Source organism: Homo sapiens, chromosome 17 (assembly GCF_000001405.40).
Source record: "Homo sapiens chromosome 17, GRCh38.p14 Primary Assembly".
NCBI classification, from domain to species: domain Eukaryota; kingdom Metazoa; phylum Chordata; class Mammalia; order Primates; family Hominidae; genus Homo; species Homo sapiens.
Window position 1 is genome coordinate 37,922,313 of NC_000017.11, and position 13,059 is coordinate 37,935,371.

Here is a 13,059-nt window from a genome sequence, read left to right on the forward strand (position 1 = left end):
CCAAAAGGCCCTGGAGAGGGGTGGGCAGGAGAGCAGATCCACCCTCCTCTTGAGGAAGCAGCCACCATCCCCAGGAAGAGCAGATGGGGGCACACAGGCAGAGTCCCCACGTGCTGTAGAGCAGGACCAGCAGAACTGTACTCAGCCCCAGCCCCAGGGGAGCTGCAAGATAGACTGAGACCCTCACAGGTTGGGCTCTGTGTCCCCACCCAAATCTCATCTGGAATTGTAATCCTCCTGTGTCAAGGGAGGAACCTGGTGGGAGGGGATGGGATCTGGGGACAGGTTCCCCCCTGCTGCTCCCCTGATAGTGCGGGAGTTCTCAGGAGAGCTGATGGTTTGAAAGTGTGGCACTTCCTGCTTCTCCGCTCACTCCCTCCTGCCGCCTTGTGGAGAAGGTGCCTGCTTCCCCTTCGCCTTCTGCCATGACTGTAAGTTCCCTGAACTGGGAGTCGATTAAACCTCTTTCCTTTATAAATTACCTAGGCTCAAGTATTTCTTTATAGCAGTGTGAAAACAAACTAATACCCCTTCCCTGAGGCGCCTTCTCCTTAGGCAACCCGCTGCCCCCATGCTCCTCCTCTGCCCCCTGTTCTTTCTTTTCCCCTCATGAGGCCCAAGTGATAAACGGGGCCAGCCCCAGCCCCAGCCCCAGCCCCAGCCCCATCCTACTGCAGGCCTGTGTGGCTGCTGGAGAGGCCGTGTTCCTTTCCTCTCCCTGAGCCTGCCTGATATGCTTTCTGGATCCTGGAGGAAACTGACCCCCTATTCTCATACTGGTGCAACATCTTCCAAGACCTCAAAGCTGTACCATTTGAGCCAGTCTTTTTTCTTATCTCCACTTGCTAGGGCTGTCATTGGGACAGTCCTAGAGGGTGGTGCCAATGGATGAATAGATGGATGGACAGTAGTCCAGGGATGATGTCCCTGTCTGTCCTGAACCGGGCCCTTCCTCCAATGAGAAGCCTTCCTGAGTGAGTTTATACAGTCATCCCTTGGTATCCATGGAGGATTAGTTCTAGGGTCCCCGGGAATGCCAAAATCCATGGATGCTCAAGTCTCTGATATAACGTGGCCTAGTATTTACGTATAAGCTATGCGCATCCTCCCGTATACGTTAGACCGTTACTAGATTATTTATGATGTGTAATACAATGCAGATGCTACATAAATGGTCGTGATACTGTATTCTTTAGGGAATGATGACAAGAACAAAGTCTGCACATGTTCAATAGAAACATAACCGTCCAATTTATTTTCTGAATATTTTCCATCTGCTGTTGCTGAATCTACAGATGCAGAGCTCCTGGATACGAGAGCCAAGTGTGCTTTGAGAGTAGGGTGGGTGAGGTTGCTAATGAGTACAGGGGAGCAGGTGTTGATCAGGAGGACCCTGCACTGGGGCATCTGGACGTCCTGCCTCAGGACTTGAGACTCCAGTTGGATGGCACAGGCAGACTCAGCCCAGGTCAAAGCCGTCCCCTTGAAGTTTCTTTTTATCCCAAGCTCTTTCTGGCCCCTGGAATTTGGCATCCCCTAGGCCCTGTGTGGAAGGACAGATGAACCAGGTTTTAGATAACATGTCTAGAAGAGTGAGCCCCTACTGTGTGCCCGGCACTTTCCCCACAGGATCCTCTAGCTAGAATATCCAAGGGTCATGGAGAGAAATACCCAGTTAAAATATCAGAAATGAAAAAGCGATACCATTAGAGACACTAAAAAGACCATTAGGTAATAGTACTAGCTTTTGTATTCTGAGATCCAACAGCAGCAGTCACTTCCCTCCACCGCTATGTGTATCCCAGGACCACCCTGGGCAGGGAGGGCTGAGGTTAGGGAGCAGCCATGGATGCTCTGATGCTGGCCCTGGGCCTCGGGGGTGACAGTGATGAGGAACTGGGTGCACACATGAGTGGGGCAGCCGGGCCTGGCCAGAGAAGCAGCACACACGTGCACAGATGTGTTTACCCACATACACATGTGCACGCACGTGCACAAACACATTGCAGGCAGGCATGTTGACGCCTCAGGCAGCGGAGGACCCTGACTCTGGGCACTGCTGACCCGGGCAAGGCCCCACTGTGATTCGTGCCATGACCTCAGAATGTCACTGGTGCTTAGCACCTATCTGCTCTCTGGCCTGCGTCAGTGGTCTACAGCAGTTACACACAGGCAGTGGTATCTGTGAGCAGCTCTGTGGACTCAAAGGTTTTCTCCCTGAGAGGCATGACCCAGGCCAGCTGATTCATCAGAATCAGGTGAGCGTGACCTGCTCTCTTCCCTCCAGGCGGACTTGGGGGCAGTGGCTACGGTGCGGGCGGTGTTGGCCTCTGTGGGGCAGCTACCGAGGAGGGTCATCCCTGAGCACTCACCAGGCGCCCGTTCTACACTGCCCGTGTAGACGATTGGCTCTTTCGTCTCCATGGTGGCTTCGTAGAGTGGGTGCTGTTCCCAAATGTCCCCATTCGACAGATGAGACGTCTGGGGTCAGAGAGGCAGTAACCGGCCTGGGAATCCGGACATGACCCTGAGTTTTGCTCTCAGCCCTGCCGTGTGCTGTGCTGGAATTCAGGCCTGAACCCTGTGACCTCCCTGCCCTAGATCCCAAATCTGCCCAGGTTTCCCATCCCGATGGGGCAGAGCCTGGTCCTGGCAGAGCCACTGGTATAGAGCCACTGGTACAGATCCACTGACGGTCCTCAGAACACCTCTGTGCCCTAAGCTGGGTCCTGATGGTCGCTGTGGGCCCCACTGAACACACATGGTCCCTTGTCCGGGGGAGCCTGCTGCCCTTGGGCAGCTGTGGAAAATGAAGGAGCCCTGGAGGGCTGGCTGAGGGGAGACTATCTTCCCTTGTGTTCAAAGGGGTCCGGGCACTAGGGTTCTCCCCAGGTATTTCTTGCTCTGCGTGGTCCTCTTGAGGCCTCGCCCTCCTTTTGCCTCGAGTATTCCCAGGAGGGACGGTCCATCCAGCTGTTCTCCAGGACCAAGGACCCACTGTTCTTCCTCAGTGACCCAGGAAAATGAAGCCTCCTCCTGTTGGGACGGCTCAGAATGGTGGACTCCACAGTCCCTCCGCGAGAGACGTGGTTTCCATGCGTACAATAGATCTTCCTCATCCCCCAAACCCAACACCCTCCTGCTCAACAGGCGTTATTCCTAAAGTGGCTTCACTGTTCAGACTGAAGAGCCACGGTAGCCAAAGTGATGAGCGGAGTAGAACCGAGCAGTCGGGAGAGATCTTGTTCCCTGTAGGAAACTGGGCATCGCTGAGGCCCTGAGCATCCCAGGAGGCCGATTGCACAGAGACCTCTGGTCGCTGACCCCAGTCTGCCTCCACATCCCTGGAATAGCCCATCATGGGCCCTTCACCCTTGGCAGGTGGAAACCATTCAACCTGCTGGGGCCGGTGTGTCCCCATTTCATGGCATTGGGGGACAACAGGATTCTCTGTCTAGGTCCCACTGTACTCAAGTCCTTGGGAAGATGCCCACCCCTGCTTGGGACTTGAGACTCCAGAGACTGGAGCAGCTGTGGGCCACTGGGTCTGGCCCCTTTTTCCCTGGGGGCGGCGGTGGAATGGGGGTTACGCAGCCAGCCAGCATCTGGGAGCCCGGCGAGAGCGGTTCAGGTGTTCTCCGAAGCCGCCGCGTACGGTGTGACCTTTAGACAATTCTGTCTCACAGGATGGACGTGGTAGAGGTCGCGGGCAGTTGGTGGGCACAAGAGCGAGAGGACATCATTATGAAATACGAAAAGGTACAAGTCGGTCTGCTTCTTGGAGGGAGGCCTCTTCCAGTGTGCCCTGGTCAAAGGGTCCTGGGCTCCCTAGGAGCACAGGGCAGGGACGGGTGGCCAATGCCCCCAGGCCCTTGCACCCTTTACCTTGGACCCCTCACCAAGGCTCCCTCTGGGCTACAGGGACACCGAGCTGGGCTGCCAGAGGACAAGGGGCCTAAGCCTTTTCGAAGCTACAACAACAACGTCGATCATTTGGGGATTGTACAGTGAGTCCTCTGCACTCCCCTCACCCCTAAAGCACCTGTCTCAGCTCAGGGATGGGTTTGCTTTTAGAAAGGCCTTTCTGACGCAGGACATGTCTCACCAGGTCGGGTCAACCTCCTTTCCAGGGACAGAACTCCTCCCTGACTCCCCTGCAGGTCCAGCCCGAGGTTGTTAGGCCAGAGGTGTGGGGCCCATCTAGGGAGCCGGTGGGAATGGAGACTGGGCTAGGTCAGGCCCCTGGGCGCTCAGCAGTTCTGTCGGCAAGTGAGCACAAGAGGAGCGGGGCAGCCTGAGGGTCTGGCCCTGTCTACTTGGAGACAAACCCGGTGAGATGCAAGGGTTATGGCCACAGGGTGAGGGGACTCCTGGCCCAGCCTCAGGGCTGTTGTGCAGCAGGTCTCTGAGGGCCCACCTGCCCCTGTTCTCCCCCATTCCCCTAGAGCTACAGCCCTCACTGTCCCGTGAGGGGAAAAGGCATGGTGACAATGGGGGCTGTAGCCCTAGGAGAACGGGGGAGAAGATGGGCAGGGCCCCGTTCTGGGCATCTCACGGTGAGGCCAGGGAGGCAGCAGGGCTCGCGGCTAAAGACCTGGGTCTGGTGCTGGGAAGGGATCTGGGGCCGGGTAAGAGGAGCCCAGCCAGGAGCCCATCCCTCAGGGATCACAGGATGGAGAGACAGAGGATCCCTGGGGAGGTAGGGCGGGAGGGAGCTGACGAGCCGTGCCACTTCTGAAACGCAGGGTGTGTGGCTCGGGTGCAGGGAGAGGCAGGTGGATGCTGGGAGGTCAGAACCTGCAAGGGCCTTGGGGCTGTCAAGTGGGGTGGGCCCCTGGTGCAGCCAGAGTACACCGGGCAGGTCTCAGGGCAGGCTCCCTTGACCCTGGCGGGGGGATGTGGTCACTCCCTGAGGGACTCCTGTCAGGGCCCGGTCGCCCACCCTGGGCGGCCCCCATCCCATCTCAGGGCTAACCTTTCTCAGCTCCAGCAGAAAGCACCACCTCGAGTCCAGGACGGGCAGCCCCATTGGGCAGCCTGACCGCCCCCCACGCCAGGGGCCCCAGTAACCCCGGCCAGGCTGTCCCTACACTCCTTCTTCTCCCAGGTCCTGCCCCTCCTGGGAGTCAGCCCCACAGGAAGGCCCTTGTCCTCCCTTCCCTGTGCCTTCTCCTGGGCTGAGCCCTGAGCTGGAAAGGGACAGAGCCAGTCCTTTCTGGGGGTCGGCACCCAGGCTGGGGCCGCTCCAGGCCCCGTGCAGTTCCTCAGCTCTGCCTGGGTTGCCTTACAGTGAGACGGAGCTGCCTCCTCTGACTGCGCGGGAGGCGAAGGTAAGAGCCTGATGCGTGGAGGGGCTGGTCCAGGGACGTAGGGACTGGGCGGGTGGTCAGTGAGGCAGAGGAAGCAGCTGGCCTGAGCGGTGGCGGGTGAGGGCAACACGCTGTCACTGGGAGGGGCAGCAGTCCCTGCTGGACCTGACCCCAGGTTGCTGTTCACTTTGGCAGTTTGATAAAATTCCAAAAGGAGAACCACAGTCCTGGCTTGGGGGTGGCTGCGCGCTTGTGTCAGGACCCCACCTAGAGGCTGGGACCTAAGACTGGTGTGTCTGTGGCCTGAGGATGGTACATCCCGGGGTCCCAAAGCCAGCCCACTGGTGCTCATTTGCTCAAAGGCTCTCAGCCCTTGAGGTCTGCCCTTCCCTGGCTCCTTCCAGCTGGCTCCCACCAGGGCTCCAGAGCCCAAGACCCAGCATCCGCGGGCGGCTCTGGGAAGCCTGGCAGCTCCGCTAACTCCAACATGCCTCATTTGACAGCAAATTCGGCGGGAGATCAGCCGAAAGAGCAAGTGGGTGGATATGCTGGGAGACTGGGAGAAATACAAAAGCAGCAGAAAGGTAACGTGTGGAGGGAGGAAGCACTCTCTGCAGAGACAGGGGACAGGCACCCATGGCTGTGGCCTGGCACCATCAGCCTCTCAGAGGGTGGGCGGCACACTGTCCTCGCCCAGAGGACTGCAGGCCTGGTCGCCAGATTTCCTGCCTATTCGTGCAAGCGTCACCTTGCAGGGAGGGAATCTGAATCTAGGGCTGGGACTACCCGGAGCTCAAGGCTAGGGATGCCCTGGTGACCTGAAGGAAGGAAAAGGTTCAGATCAGAGTTTCGACTCTGAGTGTCCATCCACTCTTTCAGTCCTGGGAAGGGAGACCCTGTCCCAGCTTGATCTCACCTCTACTGAGGAATCATGGGGCCAAAACCGACAATTTCCAGAATCCCCGGGCTCTGGTCCTCACTGGGGTCACCCCGTGGCCTGTGACACCAGATCGTTTTCTGCCCACAGCTCATAGATCGAGCGTACAAGGGAATGCCCATGAACATCCGGGGCCCGATGTGGTCAGTCCTCCTGAACATTGAGGAAATGAAGTTGAAAAACCCCGGAAGATACCAGGTACGCTCAGCCAGAGCACAACAAACAGGACAGGCCGTGTCGGGGCCCAGGTCTCCAGCTGGAGGGAACGTCAAGACCACCCTGGGGAGCTGGGGGTGAAGGTCAGATGAACACCCTGGGCACAGATGGTGACACAGTCACCACAGACAAACTCAGCTCTGGTGACCCTCCCTGGCTTCAGTAACAAGCCAAAATGCAGCTTTCTGCAGAAGGAAACCTTCCTTCTGTCCTTCCTTCCCGAAGTGCTGACTGTGGGCTGACTGCCACTGGGGGCAGGGAGTCTTCCATCTGTTCTGAGACTGCTTCCTCCTCTTGGCCCTGCCCTACAGATCATGAAGGAGAAGGGCAAGAAGTCATCTGAGCACATCCAGCGCATCGACCGGGACGTAAGCGGGACATTAAGGAAGCATATATTCTTCAGGGATCGATACGGAACCAAGTAAGCCTACGGGAGCCACAGGGTCCCAGCAGAGATGGGGTGAATGAGAGGGATGGGGGCTTCCCCGGAGCAGAAGCCAGGGTCACCCAGGAGGGATGACACAGCTGCCAAGAGCTCTCCCGGCCCAGGGAGCAGCCGGCACCATGAACCGAGCACCTCCCTGGTTCCAAGCCCTGGGCCAGACTGGAACATGTGGGGCCAGAACCCAGGAGGATCCTGAGGAGATGGAAGGCAGCAAACAAAATCATGCACAATGGTGAAGGGTGCTCTCCCTGACCCATGGGGACCCATGGTAGGACCCACGGGAGGGTGGCAGGATAGAGGGCCCATGAGCCCCCCCCAGGCAACAGTGACAGCACCAAATGCTGGGAGAATTAGGGGTCCTGGAAACTCTCATCCAGGTCCGCTGGGAACATGACATGGCACAGCCACGTTGGCAGCCCGTTGGGCAGTGGCTCACAAAGCTCGATGGACTTGAACCACACATCCCCAAAGTGTCACAGATATTGAACCCACTGATTTGCAAACTGACATCCACATGAAACCAGCATGCCAGGTTCACTGCTTGACTCCTCGTCACTCACACACGGAGCCTTCGGGGACGGCCTTCAACACGGGGATGGGGAGAGCAAGGCTGGTCCTCCCTTCAAACGGAAGACCCAGTGAGAAAAGGGAACGAGCCGGTGATGCCCGCACGAACGTGGGTGGATCCTAGATGCATTTTGCTGAGGGACAGAAGCCAGACCCAATAAGCTACCACAGTAGGATTCCCATTCCTAGGCCATTCTGGAAAAGGCCAAACCACAGGGACTGAGAAGCAGTCTGGGTGGCCAGGGGCTGACGGATCGGGGAGAGGCTGGGTGCATAGGGGCCACCCTGGAGACTTGGAGGATGAAGGAGTCGCCCCAGGAGGGGCTGGAGCGGTGGCCGGGAGACTCTGCACATCGGTTTGGAACCGTGGAGGAACTGTACACCCACAGACTGAACTGGCGTGTGTGCAAACTGAAAAAAAAAAAAAAAATCATTCAGAGTGAAAAGGATCAGGCAAGTCACTGTACAACTGGGCTATTTGCATGTCACAGATGTGGATTTTACTGAAACATTTCTTCAAGGGTCTCAGGCCCTGAAGAGCTCACTGCTTATCTGGTGAAACATCTGAACCTGAAATGGGATTTGCTGTTAGGCTTTGTAGACAAAGTGAAATTAACAACATCTGCACAAAACAAACCAAAGCCCCCTTTCTCTGTTTCCTAGGCAGCGGGAACTACTCCACATCCTCCTGGCATATGAGGAGTATAACCCGGTGAGTATTCCCGGCAGTGAGGTTCCCGGGCCATATTTCCATATTGACAGGAGTGGGTGTCTGGTGGGGGTGTCGTTGCTTCTTTTAAAGTTAGTATTTGTGACCCACCAGGATATAGGAGGTAGGATGTCAGCTCACCGCTGGCATAAACCTCCAAGGAAGGGGGTGGTCTCAAGGGGTCAAGCTGAGACACAAAGGAGTCAGGGCCTGGACTCCTGGTGTCACCTGGGCCTGACCACCACTTCTCAGAACAAGAAATGACGCCCTCCTCCTGGGGCTGCCCCAAAGCCCAGGAGCTTGGCAGCATCGCACACAGGATGGTGCTATCAGCAGACATTTTGGACAAGGTGCTGAAGTGCCTGATGGACTTGGCTCTTGTCATGAAATGAATGTGCATCCTGAGGAAGCCTCTTTTTCAGAGGAAGTCTCTCCTTCAGAGGAAGCCTCTCCAGTCACCTCTGCCCTCTCCAATGACATGAGTCCTCCCAGGTGACCTCAGCCCTCCCAGGTGATGTCCTTCCATGGTGACTCTGGCTCTTGCAGGAGGTGGGCTACTGCAGGGACCTGAGCCACATCGCCGCCTTGTTCCTCCTCTATCTTCCTGAGGAGGATGCATTCTGGGCACTGGTGCAGCTGCTGGCCAGTGAGAGGCACTCCCTGCAGGGTAAGTGAACAGCTGCCCCGGGGACCTCCTGCAGCCAGACCTGGGGATGGCCACCCTGGCCAGGTGATCACAGCTTTCAGCCAAGGCACCCTCCTTGTGTCGCCAGCTTGTTGGGAGACTTTAGAATGTCTCTGCTGAGGGTCCCACAGGAGTCCACGGCTGACCCCCAAAGCCCAAATCAGACGCCTCTCATCCCCATCAGCAGAGGGCATCTCATCCTCCCCGTGGCCACCCTCTGTGTCCTGGAGCCACGCCCTCCGGCTCTGATTCTGTGCAGCTGACTCTCCCCTCCCTGAGAGTCCTCCTGCCCTCCAGCTGCCCGGGCTCCTGCTGCCATCGGTGCCCACGAATGGGCCGACCAAGCCCAGGTGGCAGCATCTCCCCATCCCCTGTTCCCTGGCCCGACCCCACTACCAGGAGATGACCGGGAAGCCCAGCGCCCACCCAGTTCCGGCCACCCTGTCGTGGCCTGAAAGTCAGGCTTGCCCTTTTTGCACCCTGGCCCAGGAGGCCTCCAGGGGAACCTCCAGCCAGGCTCCAGGGAATGTTCCCGCCCCACCTCCCCAGGGTAAAGGCCGCATGTTGGGGTCACCAGACGGGAGGGTGGGAGGCCTTGGGGTTTGGGGGCCTCTCCAGCTGCCCAGCTCTTGCAGCTGATGGCTCCACATCTTGGGGGAAGGCTCTGATTTCATGATGGGCTGGGGGCTTCTCAGGATTTCACAGCCCAAATGGCGGGACCGTCCAGGGGCTCCAAGACCAACAGGAGCATGTGGTAGCCACGTCACAACCCAAGACCATGGGGCATCAGGTGAGTTTATGGTCCCCTCAGCTCTTCCCAGAGGCCCTGCCTCCCGTGGGGCTGTAGGAGCAGGGGGGCTGGAGCCCCTCGTGGGGCTGGTGACTGGCTGAGTCCCAGCCAGGGCCTGACCTGGGACGTCGGGTTCTCCATGGGCTGGGAGTTGGTTTCCTTTCCTGCCCTGGAGGAGACAGAGGCACAGGGATGGGGGCCCAGCTCCCGCAGAGCAGGGCAAAGGGCAGTGTGTCCACCGGGAGTGTGGGAAGGTGACAGTGTTGTGGGGAGCTCTGGACACCGCCCAGTGTTCTGCACTAGGGGAAGGGTCTTCAGAGGCCCTGGAAGAGGGAGGTTTTTAGGGCAGCCCAGTGGCCTGAGCACCTCTGTTGCTTCCATCAGGACAAGAAAGATCTATGTGGGCAGTGTTCCCCGTTAGGCTGCCTCATCCGGATATTGATTGACGGGGTAAGGAGGCATAGGGAGACCCTGGCTCAGGGACCTTCCTTGCCCTGCAGTGCCCTGCTTCCCCAGCCCGGGGGTCTGGCTCACTCCCAGCCCACAGGAGGCTCAGGCGGGTCCCCAAAGGACACACAAGCAAAACCCTCTGCCCAAGGGGGGTCATCCCAGGGCCATGGCTGGGGCTCAGGCCCAGCCTCATGGGCAGACTGGGCCAGGACCCGACTTGAGAGGGCTCAGGGAGGCCTCAAGCCCTGGGCAAGCCCCTCTCTCCAGGAGCCACATCCCCACTCAAATGAGTGCCCCCCATGAGGAGCTTCAAGACCTTGTCTGACCCAGCGTCCTGGAGGGCTCAGGCGACCCTCATGGGGAAGGTCACTGACTCTGGAGACTGAAGCCCCAGTGTGCGCAGCTCGAGCCACCAGCCCCAGCCTGGAAGGACCAGGTTCTTTCACACCTGCTGTCCCCACAGATCTCTCTCGGGCTCACCCTGCGCCTGTGGGACGTGTATCTGGTAGAAGGCGAACAGGCGTTGATGCCGATAACAAGAATCGCCTTTAAGGTTCAGCAGAGTAAGTCTACGTGTGCCCAGCGGGGCCTGGGGAGCCCTGGGGTCAGACCCCGACTGGCCCGAGGGCAGCTTCCTCACACTGTCCTCATGATCCTCTGTTCTGGCCCAGAGGGAGGTCTGGCCAGGTGGGCTGGGCAGGACACTGTGACACCGAGCCCATCCCCCACATGACCCAGATGAAAGTCGAGAGTGTGGTGAGCACTTCCCTGTCCGGATCGCCCCCCAGCCACAGTCTCCTGTGTGTATCTGGACACCTGGGGTGGCCACAAAAGGATCCGGCACTGCCCAGTAGGAGACTGAAGTGGCCACGGGGTATGAGCTGTGACCATTCCCAGGTAACTCCCCTGGCCTGATATCCACCCTGTCCCTAGAGCGCCTCACGAAGACGTCCAGGTGTGGCCCGTGGGCACGTTTTTGCAACCGGTTCGTTGATACCTGGGCCAGGGATGAGGACACTGTGCTCAAGCATCTTAGGGCCTCTATGAAGAAACTAACAAGAAAGAAGGGGGACCTGCCACCCCCAGGTGGGCTCCAGTGCCATGTCCCCTCCCATGTCACCCTCTGGGGTAGTCAGTAGTAGGGGAGTGCCCGGGACCCGCAACCCTACTACCTGGGCCTTCCTCTTCACCTTTTCTTCCTCCTCTTCCTCCTGGACTCTAAGAAAGTACAGGAGGCCCACCGGTCCTCAGGGCAGGCGCTCAGTGCGTGTATACTGGACATGCTGTGCACGCAGGAGGGGGATGTGGGCAAGACCCTCCAACAAGCCCCCTCCCACTTTCCACGGTGTCTCCCTCTCCCCCTCGCAGGGCCCTCCAAGTTACTAGACGAGCCCAGACCCATTTGTGGGAGACCCCGCCCCTCCCTGCAAGCACCCACAGCCTCAGAGAGCAGCAGAGGCCCCTCACTCCTGCACGCTCCTCCAAGGTTGCCAGGACAAGAAGCCTGGAGCCAGGGAGACAAGGGAATCCGTGTCCCTGACCCACAGAGCATTCAGGGAGAGGGCACAGGCGGGACCCCGGGCCCAGAGCCAGAGCCAAGAGTTCAGCCAGAAGTGGGAACGGTCAGTCCTGGCATGGACTGGGCAGCCCAGGAGGGCAGAGGGTGACCCACGTCCGGGCCCAATCACCCACTGCGGAGACGGGTCCCCACGTGAGGTGACAAGGGGCTGGGTGACATCCAAGGCCCCTCCCACCTGAGTTCTGACTGGGGGCCGTATCCCAGGCCCAACAGCCCTGGGACGAAGGTGTGTGGCAGGAAGCCCCCAGCCAGTCTGAACCCTGGGGGCAGTCCCAGGAGCCACCCGCCATGCCACGACAGCTTCCCCACGCCAGGCAGCATGCACCCCTCCCTCTGGGATCAGCAGACTACAGGCGTGTCCTCGGTGTCAGGCCACGGGGGCCACACAGAGACCCCGAGGACTCCAGAGACGCAGGCAGGTGGGGCCCAGCCCGGAAAGGCCTGCGTGGGCTCACTGGAGATGCTGACCGCGTCTGTTTTCCTTTCAGCCAAACCCGAGCAAGGGTCGTCGGCATCCAGGCCTGTGCCGGCTTCACGTGGCGGGAAGACCCTCTGCAAGGGGGACAGGCAGGCCCCTCCAGGCCCACCAGCCCGGTTCCCGCGGCCCATTTGGTCAGCTTCCCCGCCACGGGCACCTCGTTCTTCCACACCCTGTCCTGGTGGGGCTGTCCGGGAAGACACCTACCCTGTGGGCACTCAGGGTGTGCCCAGCCCGGCCCTGGCTCAGGGAGGACCTCAGGGTTCCTGGAGATTCCTGCAGTGGAACTCCATGCCCCGCCTCCCAACGGACCTGGACGTAGAGGGCCCTTGGTTCCGCCATTATGATTTCAGGCAGAGCTGCTGGGTCCGTGCCATATCCCAGGAGGACCAGCTGGCCCCCTGCTGGCAGGCTGAACACCCTGCGGAGCGGGTGAGATCGGCTTTCGCTGCACCCAGCACTGATTCCGACCAGGGCACCCCCTTCAGAGCTAGGGACGAACAGCAGTGTGCTCCCACCTCAGGGCCTTGCCTCTGCGGCCTCCACTTGGAAAGTTCTCAGTTCCCTCCAGGCTTCTAGAAGCATCTGGGCCAGGGCTCATGGCTGGATAATTTCCCTAGGCTTAACAACCCAAGCAAGCTTCGCATCCTCGTTTTATTTTTGGTTAAACTTATGAAAATGTATTAAGAAAGAGTGCAGCTCGAGAGAGATTCAGAGATGGAACACACCAGACCCCAGATCACAAAGCCAACCATGCCCAGCCCCTCCCAGCACCCCCAGCCCCACGACCATCGTTCTGAATTCTGACGACACCGTGAGCCTGCCTTTGTACTTCAAACTCATGGAAGGATAACCACCTTCATGTTTTGAAATAAATGTTTCCTGTTGAAATGA

The 13,059-nt window shown here is 58.9% G+C and overlaps 1 protein-coding gene across 7 annotated transcripts; it reads left to right on the forward strand.

Annotated features, from left to right (window-relative positions):
- The first annotated feature begins 1,223 nt into the window (after positions 1-1,223).
- Positions 1,224-13,059, forward strand: TBC1D3K (TBC1 domain family member 3K). Of its 7 annotated transcripts, none has more exons than XM_047435092.1 (14): positions 2,103-2,258; positions 2,402-3,759; positions 3,922-4,007; positions 5,108-5,330; positions 5,813-5,893; positions 6,337-6,444; positions 6,774-6,883; positions 8,138-8,186; positions 8,730-8,850; positions 9,564-9,658; positions 10,043-10,108; positions 10,572-10,671; positions 11,042-11,194; positions 12,176-13,059. In XM_047435092.1, the coding sequence occupies exons 2-14, from the start codon at positions 3,688-3,690 to the stop codon at positions 12,742-12,744; spliced, it is 1,833 nt and encodes a 610-aa protein (XP_047291048.1). In that variant the 5' UTR covers positions 2,103-2,258; positions 2,402-3,687; the 3' UTR covers positions 12,745-13,059. The 7 variants fall into 7 exon arrangements, with proteins under 7 accessions (XP_006722300.1, XP_011522476.1, XP_011522474.1 ...); XM_006722236.2 differs by having other exon boundaries at positions 3,687-3,759; NM_001291464.2 differs by having other exon boundaries at positions 3,687-3,759; positions 5,291-5,330.

What these genes read in the sequence shown, in the direction of transcription:
- TBC1D3K (XM_047435092.1), top strand. Translation starts at nt 3,688, where the DNA reads ATGGACGTGGTAGAGGTCGCGGGCAGTTGGTGGGCACAAGAGCGAGAG. An exon ending in AAAACCCCGGAAGATACCAG is followed by an intron (nt 6,445 to 6,773) that starts GTACGCTCAGCC and finishes CCTGCCCTACAG; the next exon opens with ATCATGAAGGAGAAGGGCAA. An exon ending in CGCCTTTAAGGTTCAGCAGA is followed by an intron (nt 10,672 to 11,041) that starts GTAAGTCTACGT and finishes CCCTGTCCCTAG; the next exon opens with AGCGCCTCACGAAGACGTCC.